Genomic DNA, 20,085 nt, shown 5'->3' with positions numbered 1-20,085 from the left:
CAGTCTTAGATTTACAGGAAAATAGGAAGCACAAGCTTCCATGTGCTCTACACTCACTTCCCTCGTGGGTCCCTTGAGTGCTTTCTTACAACATGAGGTTAAGCGTCTGCAGGGTGAGAAGCTGGAGACTGTCCTCGTGTCGCTGGGCTGAGAGCCGTGTGCGGCTGTGAGTTTTTGATGAGGAAAAGCAGTGTGGGTCCTGGATTTGGACAGCACAGGCCCCTCTGGGAGCCGTGTGCCTTCACCTCGGAGTGTGTGGGCAAGGTACAGAGCTGGAGCCCTTGACCCTGACCGGCCAGCCAGGAAGGCCGTAGGAGGCCAGCTCCCTGGCGTGAGGTGCGCAGGGCCTCTGGCATTGCCCTAGGTGAGGGCTCCAGGACTCGGACACTGGCTCTCAGTGGGGCAGGTGTGGCCCGGCAGGGGGCGCTTTGTGGGTGCACAGTGGCCCCAGGGTGGTGCAGATGGTGGGCAGACCTACCCCAGGGCTGTTTCTGAGACAGAGGTCCCTGGAGGAGAACCAGGTGCTGGGCCTCAGGTGTCTGTCCTGAACTGGAGCAGCCTTGGAACAAGGAACCACAGGAAGTCCCTGTGGCATGGGGTGCAGCCCCTCAGGTCTGGCAGGGCTAGCCCAGGGAGTGCAGGGCCCCAGGAGCCCTGCCACAGGTTCCTCAGCTCGGGAGCTCACGGCCTCCTCACTGCAGGGTCCTTTCAGGAGGGCCAGGGTGGCCTTCACACATCTGCTTCTTCCTCAGAGACACAGGTGTGGGCACGTACTGGCCAGTATAGATAAGCATTGAGCAGCATTGATGGGTATCGATGATCCTCCAGGAGCAGCGGCTGGTGCCATGCTGCTGTGGGCAGTATTGAGTATTGGCCGGTCTTGACGAGCAGCAGCCGGTACTGGGCCACCGTGGGTAGCATTGATGAGTATTGACTGGTATCAATGAGTATCAGCCGGTATCAATGAGTATTGGCCCGTATCAATGAGTTTGGCCAGTATTGATGAGTATTGGCTGGCATTGATGAGTATCGGTTGGCGTTGATGAGTATCGGCTGGCATTGATGAGTATCGGCTGGCGTTGATGAGTATCGGCTGGCATTGATGAGTTTGGCTGGGCGTGGGTGGCGCGGTGCCTTGCCCCCTGGCCAGGCTGGCTCGTGGGTGAAATGTGACATTTAGGCGGTTTTCTCCTGTCCTTTTAGTTTGTTTTTATGTGGTATCCGGGTACCATGGGGAGATCTGGCATTCAGGGCAGGAGGCTGCAGCGCAGGTCATGGGGGCTCAGGCGCAGGTGATGGGGATCCCGCTCCACAGTGTTGCTCTTGGGCCCTCCGTCAGGGAGTCCCACACAGCACCTGCCATGAGGAGTGGTGTTGGGGACCCTGGATGGGAGGTGCGTGCGTGGGGCTGCACCCCAGCCCCTGTGATGGTGTCTCTGGAAGCTGGAGATGGTCGGCATGTATGCTTGAATCCTGCAGAGGGAGTTGAGGGTTGGAGATTTGTCTGCGAGGCCTCTGCGCAGGGGCGGCCTCACAGCACACTACCAGGGTCTTAGGCTTGGCTGAGTGGCCCCTTCTGGCCTGGCAGGCAGTCGTCTCAGCCCACGCCTGCCATGCTGCTGGGCTGGTGGTGGCCGGCTCCTGTCCTGGTCAGCCTGATGTCAGCTGCACGTTGGGGTCAGCCTCGGTGCTGTGTCTTCATGCCAGAGCAGGGGCCAGGTGTGGGCAGCTCAGTGACACCCTCCCGAGGGCTGGGCGATCGTGTGCACTCTCAAGCCTCTACTGGAAGGCTTGGCCCTCTCAGGGGCCCCCTGCCCCTGTGCATTCAGCCACTGGGGTTCGTGCCCTCAGCTTCCCGCCAGGCCCTGGCCGTAGCGGTCAGGAAGAGCTGAGCAGTTTTTTTGGGAGAATTGAGGGAGCGTCGCCAGGATGCACTGAGGGTCGGAGGTGGAGCCGGCGCGGCTCAGTGCAGGCAGTGCCAGGCTGGATGCTGGAAAGCCAGCAGCACCTCTCCCGGTGGCTCCTGGGAAGTTCCACGTCCTTGCCTGGTCACAGAGGCCCGGGAATCAGTGACATGAGATAGAAGCTTCCAGAACAGGAGGCAGAGCCTTTCCGCAGTTTCCCTGCCCACAGCACACACCCTGTGCCCTCCGTCCCCTGGTTCTTGGACACTGGGGACATCTGGATGCGGCTAGAGCCTGTGGGGGTGGCCGCAGCCCTGGGGGACTGTTCCCAGGAGTAGGCCTCGGGGCCACAGGGGCGCGGCCTCGGGCCTGGCACTGCAACCTCAGGGTGAGCGCCCTTCGTGTGTGCGGCAGGAGCCGGGGCCCCTGGCTGTCAGCAGGCCCCCGAGTCCAGGTAGGTCCCAGACAGCAGTCCCGGGTGTGGCAGATGCAGTGAGGTCCACTTCTGAGGCGTTCCCTGGAGTCTGTGAGTTCTGGTCGGACCTTCGATGGCATTTTAATGTGTCTCTTGTGTTTGATTTTTAGTAAGACTTTGACCCCGACGCAGGCTTCAGTGATTGCCGCGGATCAGAAGCCTGAGCACTTTGGCTCGAGACAATTAAGGACGTGGGATGAGGCTCCGAGACAGGACGCGGTTCTGCCTGGGGATCCTGAAGATAAAAAGCTTTGAAAAGTCGAATTCATGGTCGTGGAAGCTGAGCCCATATTAAGAGATGTCAGGTTGGTAGGGGTTCCTGGCGTCGGCGGCAGAGTGAAGCCGGCCGGTCTCTTTGCGACCGTGTGGAGGAGGCACTGCCTCGGATCAAGTCGAGGGACCTGGGCTGCATGGGCGTCGGGCCGGACTGCTGCCACCTGACCCCCGGTGTGCTCTGGGCGAGGTCAGGTGCCCCTCGAGGGAGGGCTTCCTGCACACCTGGTGGCAGAGCACAGCTGTGGTCAGGCCTGTCCGTGGCATCTGCTGTCTGTTTCTGTCGGAAAGTGTCTGAGAGGCACGGAGGGCCTCCATGTGGAGGCCGCCAGCACGAGGGTGGAGCCCCACACGGAACCCTGGAAATCTCAGGTGTCCACCCGGCTGGCCCAGGAGCAGGGCCGTGGCCCCTGTGGAGCTGTTCCTTGTGGTTGGTCTGCGCTCTCTGGCCCGGAAGTGCGTGCAGTCGGAAACAGCCTTGGGCTTGGGGGATGCTGCAAAGCCTGCTTCAGCACAGGCCGTGTGACTGTGAAGCCTCCTGGGTGTGTCCCCAAGCCTGCAAGGGTGGGCTGTCCGGGGAACCCTGGCACGGTGGTCAGGGGCAGCTCATGGGTGATGTGAGGAGGCACCTTGGGTGCCTGAGCCTGATGGGGCTTGGTGTCTCCACCTGCTCCCCCCTCCCCACCGTTCAGCTGAGGGACCCGGTTCCCACTCACCCAGCACCCGGGAGTCCCCCACGCGGTTCCGACGAGGGACCCGGTTCCCACTCACCCAGCACCCGGGAGTCCCCCACGCGGTTCCGACGAGGGACCCGGTTCCCACTCACCCAGCACCCGGGAGTCCCCCACGCGGTTCCGACGAGGGACCCGGTTCCCACTCACCCAGCACCCGGGAGTCCCCCACGCGGTTCCGACGAGGGACCCGGTTCCCACTCACCCAGCACCCGGGAGTCCCCCACGCGGTTCCGACGAGGGACCCGGTTCCCACTCACCCAGCACCCGGGAGTCCCCCACGCGGTTCCGACGAGGGACCCGGTTCCCACTCACCCAGCACCCGGGAGTCCCCCCAGGCGGTTCCGACGAGGGACCCGGTCCCACTCACCCAGCACCCGGGAGTGCCCCACACGGTTCCGACGAGGGACCCGGTTCCCACTCACCCAGCACCCGGGAGTCCCCCACGCGGTTCTGACGAGGGACCCGGTTCCCACTCACCCAGCACCCAGGAGTCCCCCCAGGCGGTTCTGACGCAGCCGAGCGGTCTGCAGTGATCCCGTGTGTCCATGCCTTCCTCATCAGAAGTGAAATCCAAGGATACTGAGAGCGGATGTCTATCCACTCACTCAGAAACAGCAACATAAACCTTTCTGCTCATGAGAAGTCATCACCACCACACACAGCGGGGAGGGAGGCCACGTGCAGAGGGAGGCCATGTACAGTGTCACTGGGCGGCCTGTCTATGGTGCTCGTGGGCAGCTCCCGTCCAGAGGGAATGAAGGAACAGGCGAACCAGGACGCGGTTTTGACCGTGCAGACCTCACGTTTGGGATCTGGTTTCCTATCTTGAAGGAAAGTGGGTGGAATGGCCAGTGGCTCCTCCGAGGACGCCAGGGCGCGAGGACCTCACGGGAGGGGCATGGGCCCAGCCGTACTGGGAGCCCTCGGCTTTGGGGTGGTCAGTGGAGACCCATGCCCCGTCCCCTGCAGGCGTGTGCTGCAGGCCCACTGCACCCCTGGGCTGTCCACCAGAGCATTTCTTTTCTCTGCCATGGGTTCCAGGAGGCACTTCCCTGCTTCCTGGATACTGGCAGCTCGGTGGCCTCTGCTCACCTGCAGGCGGATGGGGCAGCGGATGGGGCGGGAGACTGGGCCGAGCGTGCTTGTGGCCGCGGCCACTGGAGAGCCTGCTGGGTCACTCTGCTCCTTGGTTCTGTCGTGCGCCTCCCCTCCTGCTGGCCGAACGGTCCTGGGTACTGCTTGGTCTCCTGTGGCCGGTCTTTGGAGGAGGAGGGGAGGGACCGGCTGGGCCCTGGCCCCAGCTCCGCCTCTGCCCAGCTGCCGTGGGGCTGACAGTGGCCCCACCTGGTGCTCCCTGCCTGGCACGGGGCGGTCGGGCGGTGCCTGGAAGCTGCCATGCTTCTGTGACGCCTCAGAGCCCTTATTTCTCCAGTTGGCCCCGATGAGGCTTAGTTGCGTCATACGCGAAAGGAATGGGTGTTAATGAGCTTTAATCATCTGGTTCTGGGAAGGTCAGGGGCACAGAGTGGACTTTAACAGGTTTTAACCCTTTTCTTCCTTTGTTCTGTTTCTTTTCTCTTCACATCTATAATTGGAAGTAATGCCAGGCAGAGGGTTGGGGGCGTCCTACGTGAAACACTGGTGACCCCATCAGGGATTCCGGGCAGCCACGCGGTAGCCCAGGCAGGAAAGGGACAACCATGTTCCCAAAGTCCCGTGCTGTCATCTTGTGTCCTCCAGTGTCCTGGGTCCCTCCTGTCCCCCTGCCTCATGGAGCTGCCCTGGGGTCTCGGACGGTCTGGGAGGGTCTCGGGGGGTCTCAGAGGGTCTTGGAGGGCCTAGGAGGGTCGGGAGGTGTCTCGGTGGGTCTGGAAATGTCTTGGGGAGTCTCAGAGGGTCTGGGAGGTTCTCAGAGGGTCTGGAGATTTCTTGGGGGGTCTCGGAGGGTCTTGGAGGGTGTGAGAGGGTCTCAGAGGGTCTGGGAGGATCTCGGAGGGGCCTTGGAGGGTCTCGGAGGGGACTTGGAGGGTCTCGGAGGTCCTGTGCCCAAGGGAGATGGTAGTGGGTGTCCACAGTCTGTGTCCACTTGAGTCAGCGAGCTGAGGCACACACGAGTTGTCTTTCACGTGGATTTTTAATTTACTTTTTACAAATATCACAACATATAGACCAGAAAACCCCCGGCGGTCGGCCCTCGTTGGCCCGTGCACAGTGGGTGGCGTGGAGTGGGTTGTAGCCACGGGGCCGCAGTGGTGCAAGGCTGAGCACTTGCCTCTGTCTTGCAGGCGTCCGACCTCCGATCATGAACGGGCCCCTGCACCCGCGGCCCCTGGTGGCATTGCTGGATGGCCGGGACTGCACAGTGGAGATGCCCATCCTGAAGGACGTGGCCACTGTGGCCTTCTGCGACGCGCAGTCCACGCAGGAGATCCATGAGAAGGTACCACCACGTGGTCGCCTGGGGCTGGCAGAACCGCACGTTGGGGGGAGTTGGAGGGACGGGAGCACGGCAGGCCCGGGCCACAGCAGGTCTGGGTGCCACTGGGGCAGGAGCAGCCTCTGTCCCAGTCGTCCCGCGCCGTCAGGAGGTGGACACGGGGTTTTCCCTGGACACCATCAGGAGGTGGACATCGGGTTTGCCCTGAGCCCCATCAGGAGGTGGACACGGGGTTTTCCCTGTGCCCCATCAGGAGGTGGACACCACGTTTGTCCTGAGCCCCATCAGGAGGTGGACATTCGGTTTGCCCTGTGCCCCATCAGGAGGTGGACACGGGGTTTTCCCTGAGCCCCATCAGGAGGTGGACACTCGTTTTGCCCTGTGCCCCATCAGGAGGTGGACACGGGGTTTGTCCTGAGCCCCATCAGGAGGTGGACACGGGGTTTTCCCTGAGCCCCATCAGGAGGTGGACACGGGGTTTGTCCTGAGCCCCATCAGGAGGTGGACACGGGGTTTGTCCTGAGCCCCATCAGGAGGTGGACACGGGGTTTGTCCTGAGCCCCATCAGGAGGTGAACACCGGGTTTTCCCTGAGCCCCATCAGGAGGTGGACACAGGGTTTGTCCTGAGCCCCATCAGGAGGTGGACACGGGGTTTGTCCTAAGCCCCATCAGGAGGTGGACACGGGGTTTTCCCTGCACACCATCAGGAGGTGAACACCGGGTTTTCACTGAGCTCCATCAGGAGGTGGACACGGGGTTTGTCCTGAGCCCCATCAGGAGGTGGACACGGGGTTTTCCCTGAGCCCCATCAGGAGGTGGACATGGGGTTTTCCCTGAGCCCCATCAGGAGGTGGACACTCGGTTTGTCCTGAGCCCCATCAGGAGGTGGACACCGGGTTTTCCCTGAGCCCCATGAGGAGGTGGACACTCGGTTTGTCCTGAGCCCCATCAGGAGGTGGACACTCGGTTTGCCCTGTGCCCCATCAGGAGGTGGACACTCGGTTTATCCTGAGCCCCATCAGGAGGTGGACACTCGGTTTGCCCTGTGCCCCATCAGGAGGTGGACACTCGGTTTCTCCTGAGCCTCATCAGGAGGTGGACACGGGGTTTTCCCTGAGCCCCACACTCGGTTTGTCCTGAGCGCCATCAGGAGGTGGACACTGGGTTTGCCCTGTGCCCCATCAGGAGATGGACGCTCGGTTTCTCCTGAGCCCCATCAGGAGGTGGACACGGGGTTTGCCCTGAGCCCCATCAGGAGGTGGACACCGGGTTTGCCCTGAGCCCCATCAGGAGGTGGACATTCGGTTTGCCCTGAGCCCCATCAGGAGGTGGACACCGGGTTTGTCCTGAGCCCCATCAGGAGGTGGACATTCGGTTTGCCCTGAGCCCCATCAGGAGGTGGACACCGGGTTTGTCCTGAGCCCCATCAGGAGGTGGACACTTGGTTTGCCCTGTGCCCCATCAGGAGGTGGACACTTGGTTTGCCCTGTGCCCCATCAGGAGGTGGACACCGGGTTTGCCCTGAGCCCCATCAGGAGGTGGACACCGGGTTTGCCCTGAGCCCCATCAGGAGGTGGACACGGGGTTTGTCCTGAGCCCCATCAGGAGGTGGACACTCGGTTTGTCCTGAGCCCCATCAGGAGGTGGACACCGGGTTTGCCCTGTGGCTTCTTGATTCATTTTCAGTTTTTTCCCAGAGAGCAGGTCCTCGGGATGCCAGCTTTTGTGGCGGGGGTGGAGTAAGGTGCTTCCCCCGGCCCCAGTTGCGCGGCGGTCTTCACACGGGCGGTCTCGGCATTGCCCGCGGCCTGGCTTTGGTCCAGCAGTGAGCAGCCTTTGGGCAGCTTTCCTGATTCTTGTTTGCTCAGGAGACCCACAGGCTCCTCCGTGATGAGAACTAGGTTGGTCTGGCTTCTACTTGTAGCCAGGGATCAGTGATTCAGAGCAGCTTTTCCCTGAAGACAGACGAAGAAGCTGGGCCCCCAGGAGCTCACAGGATAGGGCCAGGCCCAGGCTGCAGCCTGGAGAGGCCTATAACCTGCAGGAACGGGCGGGCCTTGCCAACTCTGGCCTGGGGTGTTGGCTGTTCTGGAAGAAGTAGCTGAGAGGCTGAATTTGGCTTTGGTGGCATCACTGGCCTGCTGGGTGTGGGGCCCTGCCGGGATATCCATGGCCTGAAAGGTGACATCTGGAGTGAGGGTGACCTGGACTCTGACGCGCCACACGATCGGCACCCAGCCTGCTGATGTCCAGGAAACCTTGAATCTGGATTTTTGGGGACCCCGCACTGCCGGCCCCAGGTGCCTGGCAAAAGAAGTAAGACGGCCCCTTTAGAGGAAGACAGCGTCAGCCGAGGCCTCGGGTCATTTCTACAAATCACCATCTGGTGCGGGGTCCATCACATGCAAACAGAGGTAACCAGGCAGTCAAGGAGATGCGCAAAACGCAGAAGCCAGGGAAGCAGTGCCACCCGCAGGAGCTCCCCGTGCTGCCCACGAGCCGATCACCCCAGCCCAGCCCCCAGGAGGCTGGGCCAGACACCGACGAAGAGCTGATGACTCTGGAACGGGGCGTAGCAGCGTTAGGGGAGAAAATGAGATGCGGATCTGAGAAAACGGCGAAGCTGATCGGTGGAACTGAGGGGCGGGTTTACCAGCTGACCAGGCGGCAGCGGACAGGAGGGAAGGAGAGAACGCGGGAGAGGGCGAGATGAGGAAGGGTCGCTCTTGCAGAAACTTCAGAACAGGAGAGGGAAGGGGTTGGAAGTGATGATGACAGCAAAACCCTTTCCAAAATGGACGGAAGAAAATCTGATGTTAAAAATGCGCGTGGTCTGCCGGGAGCGTCTGCTGGGGCGTTCGCTCTGGAAGATTCTTCATGGTTTCTCACACGGGTAGATGCGTGCTTGTAATGCAGCCCAGTGGCCACACTCCTTTATCCCGGAGACTCGGAATGCGCGTCCACACACAGACCTGCACGTCATGCTCCCTAGCAGCTTAACTCACCATAGCCCAAACCAGAAGGACGCCCCCCACCGGCTGTCCTTCAGTGGGTGAGTGGCCAGGCAAATGCTGGCCACCTCCCTCGGTGTCCTCCTCAGCAACAGGCATGAACGCTGGGTCCCTGCCACACCCTGGGTGATCTCGGCAGCATGATGGCGAGTGAAGAAGCTGGTTTCAAGGGGTGCACACTGTATGATCTCTTCATCCCCAGGTGATAGGATTAGCGTGACGGAAACAGTGGCCCGGGGTGTAGGTGGGGGGGCCGCCGGCAGGCCGGTGTCTGGAATCGGCACATGGGCACGTTGGCACGTCACGTGGGCATGTCCACACGCATGCAAGGGGCTGTGGGTGAACTGCCCGTGGTGCACACCTGAGGGAGTTGTGTGGCACCAGCTCGGTTTGGACAGTGCCCTTTGTTAGGTACGGTTTTCTCATTGGGAAGCTGGATTTGTATTAAAGATGCACACGTAAGAATAAAAAAGAGGCTCGTAGAAAACTTTTGGTGTCGTAAACAATACTCAAACAGTTTTGCCAACAAATTGGAAAGCTAAGGCAAAACAGATGTTTTTCTAAAATTGCAGTAATCCCAAACTGCCTTGACAGGTTCATATAAAATGCAGATCAGTGGTTGGGGTGGGGCCGGCGTGGGCCCTGGCATGAGACAGACTTCCTGCTCCCCACCCAGGCTGCACAGCCCAGGGCAGAGAAAGGACAACATAAATACACAGAAAACTGCCCCAGGGGATGCAGCTGGATTCTTGGAAGAGACGAGAGTGTTGGGAACCGTCCTGGCATCCTGGAGGGGCCTGAAGCAGCCCCTAACCAGAAGCAGAGCCGGCGCCACAGAAAGGAGCCCCCAAGAACTAGGAGAGCTTGAAATTAAAAACATGAGTGAAAATCTCATAAAAACAGGAAGCTCAAAGACACAGGGACATTGCAGAAGCCAGAGAGGTGAAGAGAAGCCGTGACCTCCCGGGGCTGTGTGTGGAGTCTGCAGGGGCTGCCTGGATGCCGAGTCCGCGTTTCGCAGTGTGTGGTCCTGTGGGAGGACTTGGCTGCCCACGCTTTCTTGCCACTAGGGGTGGCCAAAGGATTGAGCTCCAGAACAGAGGGGAGCAGGGCCTCTCCCTGCCGTCCCCTCCTCGTCCCTGCTGGCTGGAACCCGGGGTAGCCACCTTGGACTGTGAGGGGAGCCACGTGCTGGGAACCGTGGAGCAACAAGGCAGGAGGCAGGGACCCTCGTGGCTGTGGAGAGGGCAGCGGGGCCGCAGGCTCCCTGTCTCCAGGCTTTGGCGTGGGAGGAAACTGAACACCTGCTTTGTGTGCCACTGTTAGTCAGGAATTCTGCCTCCTGGGGCAGAAACTTCCCGCATAGCTGGTTGGAGGTCGCCGCCGTCTGAGTGCCGTGGAGGGAGAGAACGTGATACCGTCAGTGCGGTCACAGGAGGAGCGGGAAGAATGTCGGGGCCTGGGAGGCGCCCCAGTGTTCAGGTTCAGGACTGGGATTTTACTGATACCACGGGTGGGGGATGTCACCCACCGGGACACAAGACTCAGCCCAGCCCCACTCGCCTGCTTTGGAATTTCCACAGGAGAAGGGTTTTCAGCCCAGCACTGCACATCTGATCAAACTGCTGAGCAAGAAAAAGGAAGCCCTGGAGCCTGGAGGCTGCGTCCGGTGTGGGCTGCGGGGCCTGGAGCGGCAGGGCGGCTCCGGGAGGGCACAGGACGCAGTGGCCTGCGAGGACCTGCAGCCAGCTGGACAGTTGCACTCCTGCAAGACAAGCATCTCCACGCCTTGGGGGTGGGGAGGCCACCAGAAAGCTCCGCCAGACAGAGGTGCTGGGGCTGTGCAGGAAACGAAGTGATTAGAAATCCCGGAAAAACACACAAGCAGGCGTTGTCATGGTGACTGGGAAAAACACACAAGCTGGCGTTGTCATGGTAATGGAGTGTAGGACAGGCCTGGAGCCCCTCGGTCTCTTGCTGGCGGCTGGCACAGAGACGGGCTGCCGTGGGCTCTGACCTTAATACCGGGTCACAGTCGCTTCTAGGACCAAGAGGACAGAGACCCCATCACCGTATGCAGGGGCCTGTTTCCAGGCAGACTGCCCAGTGCCCAGCTGAGCCTCGGGTGCAGTGCGACCCCCGCAGGGCATGTCCAGACCCCAGGACCCCCTCTCAGGTCTAGAAGATCCAGTTGGGCAGTGTTGGTACCACCAAGAGTAGACAGGACAGAGGATCAGAGACAATCCCACCCAGCAGGACCCAAGGACTCAGGCAGTGGCTTTTCAGGTGTGTGGGCCGAGGACTGGGGAGTCGGTGAATTCTGGGGCCCCTGGGGTGGCCGTTCAGGAACTGCAGCAGCTCCCCCCACCACAGATGCTCGCTGCCTACTGAAGCGGCCACGTGTTTGAATGAAGAGCAGTTAGAGGAACGCTTGCAAGAGAATGTGTTTATTACCTGAGGTTATGACAATACAGAACATACAATGTTTTCTGTGGAAAATGTGATACTACAGAGGAAAAGGTCACTTTAATTAAATGGCAATTAGAAGTAACAGCATTGCAAGGTGGGGTGCAGCAGCTCACGCTTATAATCCCAGCACTTTAGGAGGCTGAGGCGGGTGGATCACTTGAGGTCAGGAGTTCAAGACCAGCCTGGGCAACATGGTGAAACCTCGTCTCTACTAAAAATATAGAAATTAGCCACGCGTGGTGGTGCGCGCCTGTAGTCCAAGATACTCAGGAGGCTGAGGCAGGAGAACCTCTTGACCCTAAGAGGCAGAGGTTGCAGTGAGCCAAGATCGTGTCACTGCACTCCAGCCTGGGCAACAGAGCAAGACTCTGTCTCAAAAAGGAAAAAAAGAAAGAATGACATAGCAAAATAAATTTAAAAAATAAAAACGGGAGAGGTAGGGGTTGGGTATTTTCAATTTGTGTGCCAGCCTAAGGGTGAATGTCTGATAACACTCAGAGCTGGTGCAGGGGCTGTGCCTGTCATCCCAGCGTATCCAGAGGCCAAGGCCAGAGGATCGCTTCAGCCTAGGAGGTCAAGGCTGCAGCGAGTCATGATTACACCACTGCAGTCCAGCGAGGTCCTGTCTGTAAAATAAGTAAATGAAAAAGTTTATATATTCAAAGACTCCTCCCAATCAGTAGAAACAGAAAAATCCCGACAGAAAATGGATGAGGGCGGTGGCGTTTGGTACAGACAGAGCGGTGTATGAGAACCGGGGTGCGCCTCCTGGGTTCTCACAGGTGCAGCAGGCACCGCCGGTAACCCCTGGCCTGGCCTGCGCTGAGCCCTGCACCAGCCGTGCTGAGGGAGCCTGGGCCTGGCCCTTCATGTGGGATAGAAACGGCCGTGCCGGTCTCGATGGTGCTTTGGCAGTTTCTCTGGAAATCTGAAACCTGCGGTCTTCAGCCCAGCCCCACCCTGGGCCTGCATGTGGCTGCGTGTCGTAGAGAAACATCTGCCCTGATGGTGACCTGATGTGAGCAGCAGTTTCACAGAGTAAGCCACCCCTGTGCACGAGGTCTGGAAAGGTAAGTGCGACGTCGAGTCCTGAGCACAGAAGCAGGTGGCAGAACTGCATGGCAGGAGGTGGGCTTGGCGGGCCCCTTCCTGACCCCCAAGAGCCAGCTGCCACCAGGAGCGTCCTGGGGTCTGTTTCCAGCCCGGTGGCAGCCGAGCTTCCTGGGCACCCAGCTTTCCCCAGCCTGCTCTGAGCACTGGAGTTGAGGGCACTGAGCAGAGTGGGGCTGAGCCCCTGGCGGTGGAGGGGACACATCAGTGGGTGTTGGCTTGAGGTGGTTTCTGGGAGGCTGCTGGGCCCCGATCTAAAGGGACACACCTGGCTGCACCCACCTCCTGCAGACTTTCTCCGTGGGAGACCAATGCAACAGGCGGGGTGGAGCAGCCACGTGGCAGCCACGAGGGGGAAAGGAAGGTAGACCCTGAGGCTGAGCCGCTGTGGCACCCTGGCCTGTGGACCTGTGGATGACGTGGCCGCCACGTGGTAAAGCGCACATGCTAGCAGCTGTGGCCCTGCAGCTGAGCACAGGCCAACCTGGTACGTGGTGGAGGTCGGGGCATGGGGTGCCCCAGCCATGTTCAGATTCCTGTAGTGAGAATGCTTTCACCTAATACTATGTTGTTAAACCTGTATTCAGTAGGGAAAAGGGCAAGGACCTGAAAAAAGTGTATTAAGAATCGTGCACAGGCAAGTGATGAAAGCCTCGTCGGGGAGGCAGCTTGCGCTTCACAGCTCAGCTGGGTGGGCGCGCCCGGAGCCCAAAGGAGGGCCCTTGGCCGGCGCACGCTTCGGCTTCTCCGAGCTTACCTAGATGAGATAGATTTTCATCACGGAAGAGCCGATGCAGGAAGCAACCTTAAGGCTGCGCGGATGAATATTCGTCATATTCACGTGAATCTGATCGCTGTCTCCTCCGAATGTGCGGGAGGTGACGTGCCGCGGTTCAGAATCGACTTTTCGAGGCCCGTGGCCAGTGCTCCGGGTGAAAGCAGGCTGTTGCCTGCGTACACACAAGCCTGTGTGGTGTGGGTCTGTCCAGCCTGTCCATGCCGAGCCTCTGCACACACACTGTGGAAGTGGCCCCTGCACATCCAGCTGCCCAGGCCAGCCCCCCGGGCTCACGTCTGGCACCAGGCCTGTCCCTGACCCCAGGGCCCATCTCCCACTGCGCCTCTGCCCACCGCTCGCATGCGCAGCCCCTCCTGCCCACAGTGGGTGCCGACGAAGCTTCATCTGCAGGTGACTCTCTCTTAGCTGCGGCTGCTTTGCCAGGCTGCCCGAAGCACCTCCTTGGTGTGTGGGCGCCCATCTCCAGTCCACGCAGCGCAGGGGTCTTCCTGGCCGCACCGCTCGCCTCCACCACAGCTGTGCACCAGTCGCCCACTGCTGGCCTCTGCCTGCCCATGCTGTCCTTGTGGCCTCACCCCGTCCACACTACGTCTGGTCAAGTGTGGTACACCAGGGTTCACCCCGTCCACACTGCATCTGGTGCACCAGGGGTCACCCCGTCCACACTGCGTCTGGTGCACCAGGGGTCTGCATGCATGCAGCCTCAAAGCCCTCCCAGGAGGCCCGGGGCAGCCATCAGCCCTGTCCATGAACTGATGAGTGTTACACACACCTGTTCCTCTGTGGTCCGGGTAGATGCCTCCCTGCCTCCTGCAGCCGAGGTGCTCCAACCTTCCCTTCTTCCTGGAGAATGCCCAGGCTAGCCCAGGGCTCCCCTCCCCTGCTGCCCAGCCTCTGCTGTGGCCCTGGTCTGTGTGGTCCTCCATGGTCCTCTCCTCTAGGTCCCCTGCGGTGGGCAGGAGGGAAGGGAGGCTGTGCCAGCCTCAAAGGGAATCATCTGTTCTGGCTAAGCTGGAGGTCCGGGCACTGTAGGAGAAGGGGTTGCAGCTGGGTGGTGAGCGTCTTCCTGGGGGCTGCCCTCACCCTGCCCACGTATGCCTGCCCAACACCAGCTGCTCTGCCCAGGACCCAGGCAGGGTCAGCTCCCACAGGACGCCCTGCGGTCCAGCAACCCAGGCACTGCCGCCCGGGATCCACAGGCTCCATGCTCGGCAGGAAGGGAGGGAAAGACGCCACCTAGGCCCCGGCAACCTCTGTGCTGAGCCTGCGCCATTGATCCGTCAGGAGTACCTGGGGCCCCGCTGGACAGGTGGTGGGTGGGAGTCATGTCCACATGGGAGGCTCACTGGTGTCTCCGGGGACTCGGACATGCCCATGTGGACGAGGCCTGCATGTCCTGGTGTCCTCAGCCACGGCTGTTCGCACAGAGCATCTCTGCACCCGTGGGTGGGCGTTGTCATGCACGGGAGTGTGGGATGGACGTGTGCGGGTGGATGTGTTTGGGTGTGGGTGGATGCGCAGGTGGTGCACACACATCCCCACCCTGTGCCCAGTGCTGCACCTGGTTCTTCGGCCTAGGGCACTTCCTCCACCTGTGTGCCTCTGCACCCCACACTGCCCCTGCCCTCCCTGGGCTGGGGGTAACTGGGAGCCCTTGGCAGGGTGGGGTTGGCCGTGACCACAGCGATGCCATGTACTGGCTGAGTGGAGGCGCCAGGGTTGGGCTGCTGTGCTGTGTGCCAGGTCTTTGTTCGCGGGAGCTGTTCCGGTCTAAGAGTTGTCATGGACACTGAAATTAAAAACGTGACTGTTGTGAACACTGCTCAGACCCAAGCCTCGCCAGCCAGGGGCAGCATTTCTGGGCAGGTTCTTGGGCGACACGGGGGCAGTGCATGCTCCTGTGGATGTATCCTTACGGCTGGGTGGCGTCTGCCTGCCTCCGCCGACGTGCTTGTGTGCCGCGGGGACTTACCACTTTCTACCTGCATCCCCGGGCCTGCAGGTCTCAGGTTCCCTGGCCACCCCACCCAGCTGCACCTGCTCAGTGTCCTTCCTGGGTGTGGCCGCACCCCCCCTCCTGTGTCCTCGCCAGGCGGGACCCCGTTTCTTCCACAAGGCTGAGCAGAGTCTCGGTGGGGCGCACGCTCAAAAGGAGACATCTCAGCCACCACAGTGGGGAGCGGGCAACTCTGACCAGTGCCGGCCTGCAGCCTACATGCGGCTGAGGAGGCTGCGGTGGGAATTGCTGGGACTCAGGACGCCTGGGCAGAGGTTGAGGGGCCGCGCGTGGCGGGGAAGCCTTCATGTAGCCTCTCCCAGTGTCCGGGCTGGTGCTTGGGGAACAAGCCTGAGGGCCACAGGCTAATTTCCCAGCCGGGGCAGCCCCACCCCCGAAGGCCAAGCCCGAGGGTCTTCAGGTTCCGGGCTGAGCCTGTGTGCTTTCTCGCTGCAGGTCCTGAACGAGGCTGTGGGGGCCCTGATGTACCACACCATCACTCTCACCAGGGAGGACCTGGAGAAGTTCAAAGCCCTCCGCATCATCGTCCGGATTGGCAGTGGTTTTGACAACATCGACATCAAGTCGGCCGGGGATTTAGGTAGGCCGGCTCCGAGTTCTCTCCTGTGCCCATTCATGCAAGCTCCGTCCCGTCTTGCTTCGTCCATGGAGGCTTCACTGCCACACTGAGGACCCCGTTGCACATTGCCTGGTGTGGCTGGCGGTGGTTCGTGGTCCCGTCTGGGGCCGGCATGAGGTTGCAGCCATTCAGTTCCTCACAGAGCCTCATCTCAGGGCACTTCCTCTCTTTTGGGCAGCAGGAAATCCAGCTGTGGCTTCACACAGGTCTGCATGCATGTCTGGCTGGTGCCCCTTGCTTGGGTACTGGGACCCTGGGGGTGAGGGCAGGGCCGTCAGTGTATGGCTGTAATAGGGCTCATAGGTCTCTGTCCCGAGACACAGCGGGAACAGCAGCGTGTTGCAACCCAGTACGTGTGCACTCAGCACACAGAACACACACGTCTGCACCTGTGCACTCAGCACATGGATCACGCACACTCAGCACACAGAACACACACGGAACACGCACATCTGCATCCGTGCATGTGCACTCAGCACATGGAACACGCACACTCATCTGCACCCATGCACATGCAGTTAGCACACGGATCTTGCACACTCATCTGCACCCGTGCACATGCACTCAGCACACGGATCACGCACACTCAGCACACAGAACACGCACATCTGCAGCCATGCATGTGCACTCAGCACATGGAACACGCACACTCATCTGCACCCGTGCACATGCACTCAGCACACGGATCCTGCACACTCATCTGCACCCGTGCACACGCACTCAGCACACGGATCACGCACACTCAGCACACAGAACACACACAGAACACGCACATCTGCAGCCGTGCATGTGCACTCAGCACATGGAACACACACACTCATCTGCACCCGTGCACATGCACTCAGCACACGGATCACGCACACTCATCTGCACCTGTGCACACGCACTCAGCACATGGATCACATGCTCATCACACAGAACACATGCACCTCTGCTTGTGCACTCAGCATATGGAACACTCATGGAACACGCACGTCTGCACCCGTGCACCTACACGCACATGGAACATGCACATGTGTCTGCATCCATGTACAGACACTCATTAGAACAAACTTGGGGCGGTGCTTGGCCGTCCTGCTTGGAGCGCACTTTCTGTTTTCTGCCAGGCTCGGTCTGTTTTTTCTCCTCCTCTCGATGCTGGTAACAGGCGAGGTTGTACCCTGCCCTTGCCCACAGTTGGCCAGCGCCTCACGGTTTTGCTTCCCTTTTCCTAGGATACAGTTTATGGCATTGCAAAGTTGGAACCGTCTGTGTTCCTGCGGGGGACGCAGGTGGTGTCGGAAGCCATGCCTCCATCTGGGGGTCTCCTGCACTGGCTTCAGCTGCTTCCGCCGGCGCCCATGGGCCAAACCTGTGTGCCAGCCTCCTCCCGCCTTTGTCTCTGTGGTGGCGTCCCAGGAAGGGCCGGCTGCGGTGTCGGGTGCAGGCCTGGGTGTGTGGTGTCGGGTGCATGCCTGGTGCTTTTTGAGGGGTCCCTGCTGTTTACCATCTCTGTTACCCGTGGAGTTTCCCAGGCCTGGGCTCTGTTCTTCAGCCAGGGATGGTCTGGGGCACCCCTGGGATCTGGCCCACCCTCAGGAGGTCTTTGTTCCAATCTCGTGTGGCGCCTGGCTTGGCTCTCCCTCAGTCTCCCTTGTTTAACATTTTTACGTCCAAGTGAGTTGTGTCTAGGGGCTATGCAGCCCCTGCCTGCGCCGCCCCACATCAGGCCCTCTCCCGGCCCCCGGGACCCCTTGCGGAACCACACGGTCCTGTCCAGCTTCCGGGCCTATGAATGCAGCCCTGTCCTGGCCTCCTGCCCCCTCCTCCTCCCCAGGGAGACGGATGGCCAGTCGGACACAGGAATGCAATCATCCGGATGGGGTGGGAAGTGCCGTGCAGGGGCGGCCCTGGCCAGGGACAAGCCAGGGATGAGGGTAAATAGGCTCAGGGAGGGGCACTGGCTGGGGAAGGGCCTGTCTCTGGGGACAAGGCCGGGAGCGGGGAGTAGGGGTCACACATGGGCGTGCCTGGCCACTCGGGAGAAATGGGATGGACTTGCTTTCCAGGAATGGCTCCAGCTTCAGTGTTACCGACTGCAGGGGTGGGGCATGGAGGGCGGAAGGGGCTTCGGGGCCCGGCTGGGCCTGGGGGAGGCCTGAGGACATGTGCGGATGTCCACGTAGGGGTGTGCAGGCGGGGCCGGCACCCAGATTCTGACCTGGCCACAGCCTCCCAGCAGGGTACCCCCGAGAGGAATCGGGGTGGCGAGGTGACGCGGGGAGACACGTGCTTGTCTCTTCCTGGGCTGCCAGCGCTGAGTCGGGAGGGGTCAGGGCAGCGTCTCACACCCCAGCCCTACCACACACCGAGCAGTTGCCGTGTGTGTGCTGCCACGTGAACCTAAAGTGGAGGTGGGGCTCCTGGAGTTGCTCTGTTGCGCCCGACCTGTGAGCAACGTGTTCATCTCGTGGCCTCCCGGGGTGGCCTTGGGGACACGGCCTTTGGCTTCTTCCTTGGGAAGCTTCAAACCCGCTCCAGTCACGGCGGCCCCGGTGTCCTCCCGGAGGCTGGGCCCGGCCCGGGGGTGACCGCCGTGTCCTTGTCCCCACAGGCATTGCCGTCTGCAACGTGCCCGCGGCGTCTGTGGAGGAGACGGCCGACTCGACGCTGTGCCACATCCTGAACCTGTACCGGCGGGCCACCTGGCTGCACCAGGCGCTGCGGGAGGGCACACGAGTCCAGAGCGTCGAGCAGATCCGCGAGGTGGCGTCCGGCGCTGCCAGGATCCGCGGGGAGACCTTGGGCATCATCGGACTTGGTGCGTCGGCCGCAGCTCCACGCCTGTGTCCCTCCCTGTGTCTGGCGCTGCCGCTCTTCAGCTGTGCCCAGGAGGAGAGGCCCGGGGCGGGGTGGGGCTGCTGCAGGTGTCGGTCCCAACCCAGGACAGGACTGAGTGCGCACAGGCACCAGGGCCCGGGAGTCCCAGGCGTGTGCCCTACGTGCACGGACGTCACAGCACACGTGGGTCTCACACAGGCACACACAGATAACGTACACGGATGCCACAGCACACACAGCCTCACACAGACATCACAGCACGTGGGTCTCATGGGCACATGCAGATAACACACACGGACGTCACAGCACTCACATGGGCTTCATGGGCACATAGATAACACACGGATGTCACAGTACACAGCCTCACACAGAAATCAGAGCACACATGTGGGCCTCACACAGACATCATGGCACACACAGACATCACACACCGATGTCACAGTACACATACTGGCCTGCACGGATGTCATAGATGCCACAGCACACATGTGGGCCTCACAGACATCACAGTATACATGACCTCACGGGCGCACACAGAAATCACACATGGACATCACAGCACAGACGTGGACCTCACGGGCACACACAGATAACACAGATGTCACAGCACACAGCCTCACACAGATATCACAACACACCCATGGGTCTCACACTGGCCTGCACGGACGTCACAGCACACAGGGCCTGCACAGATGTCACACACAACACCACAGCACACATACAGGCCTCACACAAGACATCGTGGCACACACAGACATCACACACGGATGTCACAGCACACACGTGGGCCTCACGGGCCTGCACGGATGTCACACGCCACAGCACACGTGGGCCTCACAGACATCACACACGGACATCACAGCACACACAGGCCTCATGGGCACGCACAGATAACACACAGATGTCACAGTACACACAGCCTCACACAGCACACATGGGTCTCACACAGGCCTGCATAGACATCACACGGACATCACAGCACACACGTGGACCCCACACAGACATCACACATGGACATCGCAGCACACACATGGGCCGCACGGGGACATACAGATGTCACAGCACACACACACGGGTATCACATGGCACACATGGGCACCACACATGGATATCACACCATACACATGACCTCACATGGACACACATTGATGTCAGTCATGGGCACGTACGCAGATAGATACCGGCATATGTGTGGGCACGCACATCAACCACGGTCTAGCATGTGCTCGCCCCTTGAGTCCCCTGGAGCTGGCTGTGTAGATCCTGCTGGGGCCGGGGTTCGGGCAGCCGTGGGCTTCCTCCGTGGTCACCAGCAGCTGCCCCTGGCGCTGGCCCTATCCCCGGGGAGTGGTTTGCCTTTCAGCGACCCCTCGCTCTTCATTTGCCCACTCGCTTTGCAGCCGCCTATCCTGGGCC

General features: G+C 60.8%; 1 protein-coding gene across 12 annotated transcripts in view, besides 2 other annotated features; it reads left to right on the top strand.

The window, feature by feature from the left end:
* CTBP1 (C-terminal binding protein 1) overlaps positions 1–20,085 on the top strand; it is a 38,911-nt gene that overhangs the window by 6,347 nt on the left and 12,479 nt on the right. For 9 of the 12 annotated variants that reach the window (NM_001377192.1, NM_001377189.1, NM_001377193.1 and 6 more), the window contains exons 2-5: positions 2,490–2,684; positions 5,672–5,826; positions 15,666–15,810; positions 18,443–18,649. In NM_001377192.1, the coding sequence (NP_001364121.1) occupies positions 2,678–2,684; positions 5,672–5,826; positions 15,666–15,810; positions 18,443–18,649 (514 nt within the window). In that variant the 5' untranslated portion in view covers positions 2,490–2,677. The other 3 variants (NM_001328.3, NM_001377186.1, XM_024453899.2) reach the window with 2 other exon arrangements.
* Positions 3,533–4,033: an enhancer, noted in NCBI's record as "H3K4me1 hESC enhancer chr4:1233764-1234264 (GRCh37/hg19 assembly coordinates)". NCBI's record gives its function as "activates a minimal SCP1, AML or CMV promoter by ChIP-STARR-seq in primed H9 embryonic stem cells {active_cell/tissue: H9 hESC(primed)}" and the evidence as "EXISTENCE:reporter gene assay evidence [ECO:0000049][PMID:30033119]".
* Positions 9,527–10,082: an enhancer, noted in NCBI's record as "H3K4me1 hESC enhancer chr4:1227715-1228270 (GRCh37/hg19 assembly coordinates)". NCBI's record gives its function as "activates a minimal SCP1, AML or CMV promoter by ChIP-STARR-seq in naive H9 embryonic stem cells {active_cell/tissue: H9 hESC(naive)}" and the evidence as "EXISTENCE:reporter gene assay evidence [ECO:0000049][PMID:30033119]".

Source organism: Homo sapiens, chromosome 4 (assembly GCF_000001405.40).
Source record: "Homo sapiens chromosome 4, GRCh38.p14 Primary Assembly".
In the NCBI taxonomy this organism is placed as follows: Eukaryota; Metazoa; Chordata; class Mammalia; order Primates; family Hominidae; genus Homo; species Homo sapiens.
Note: the sequence above shows the minus strand (reverse complement) of the source record. Positions and strands in the feature narration are given on the sequence as shown.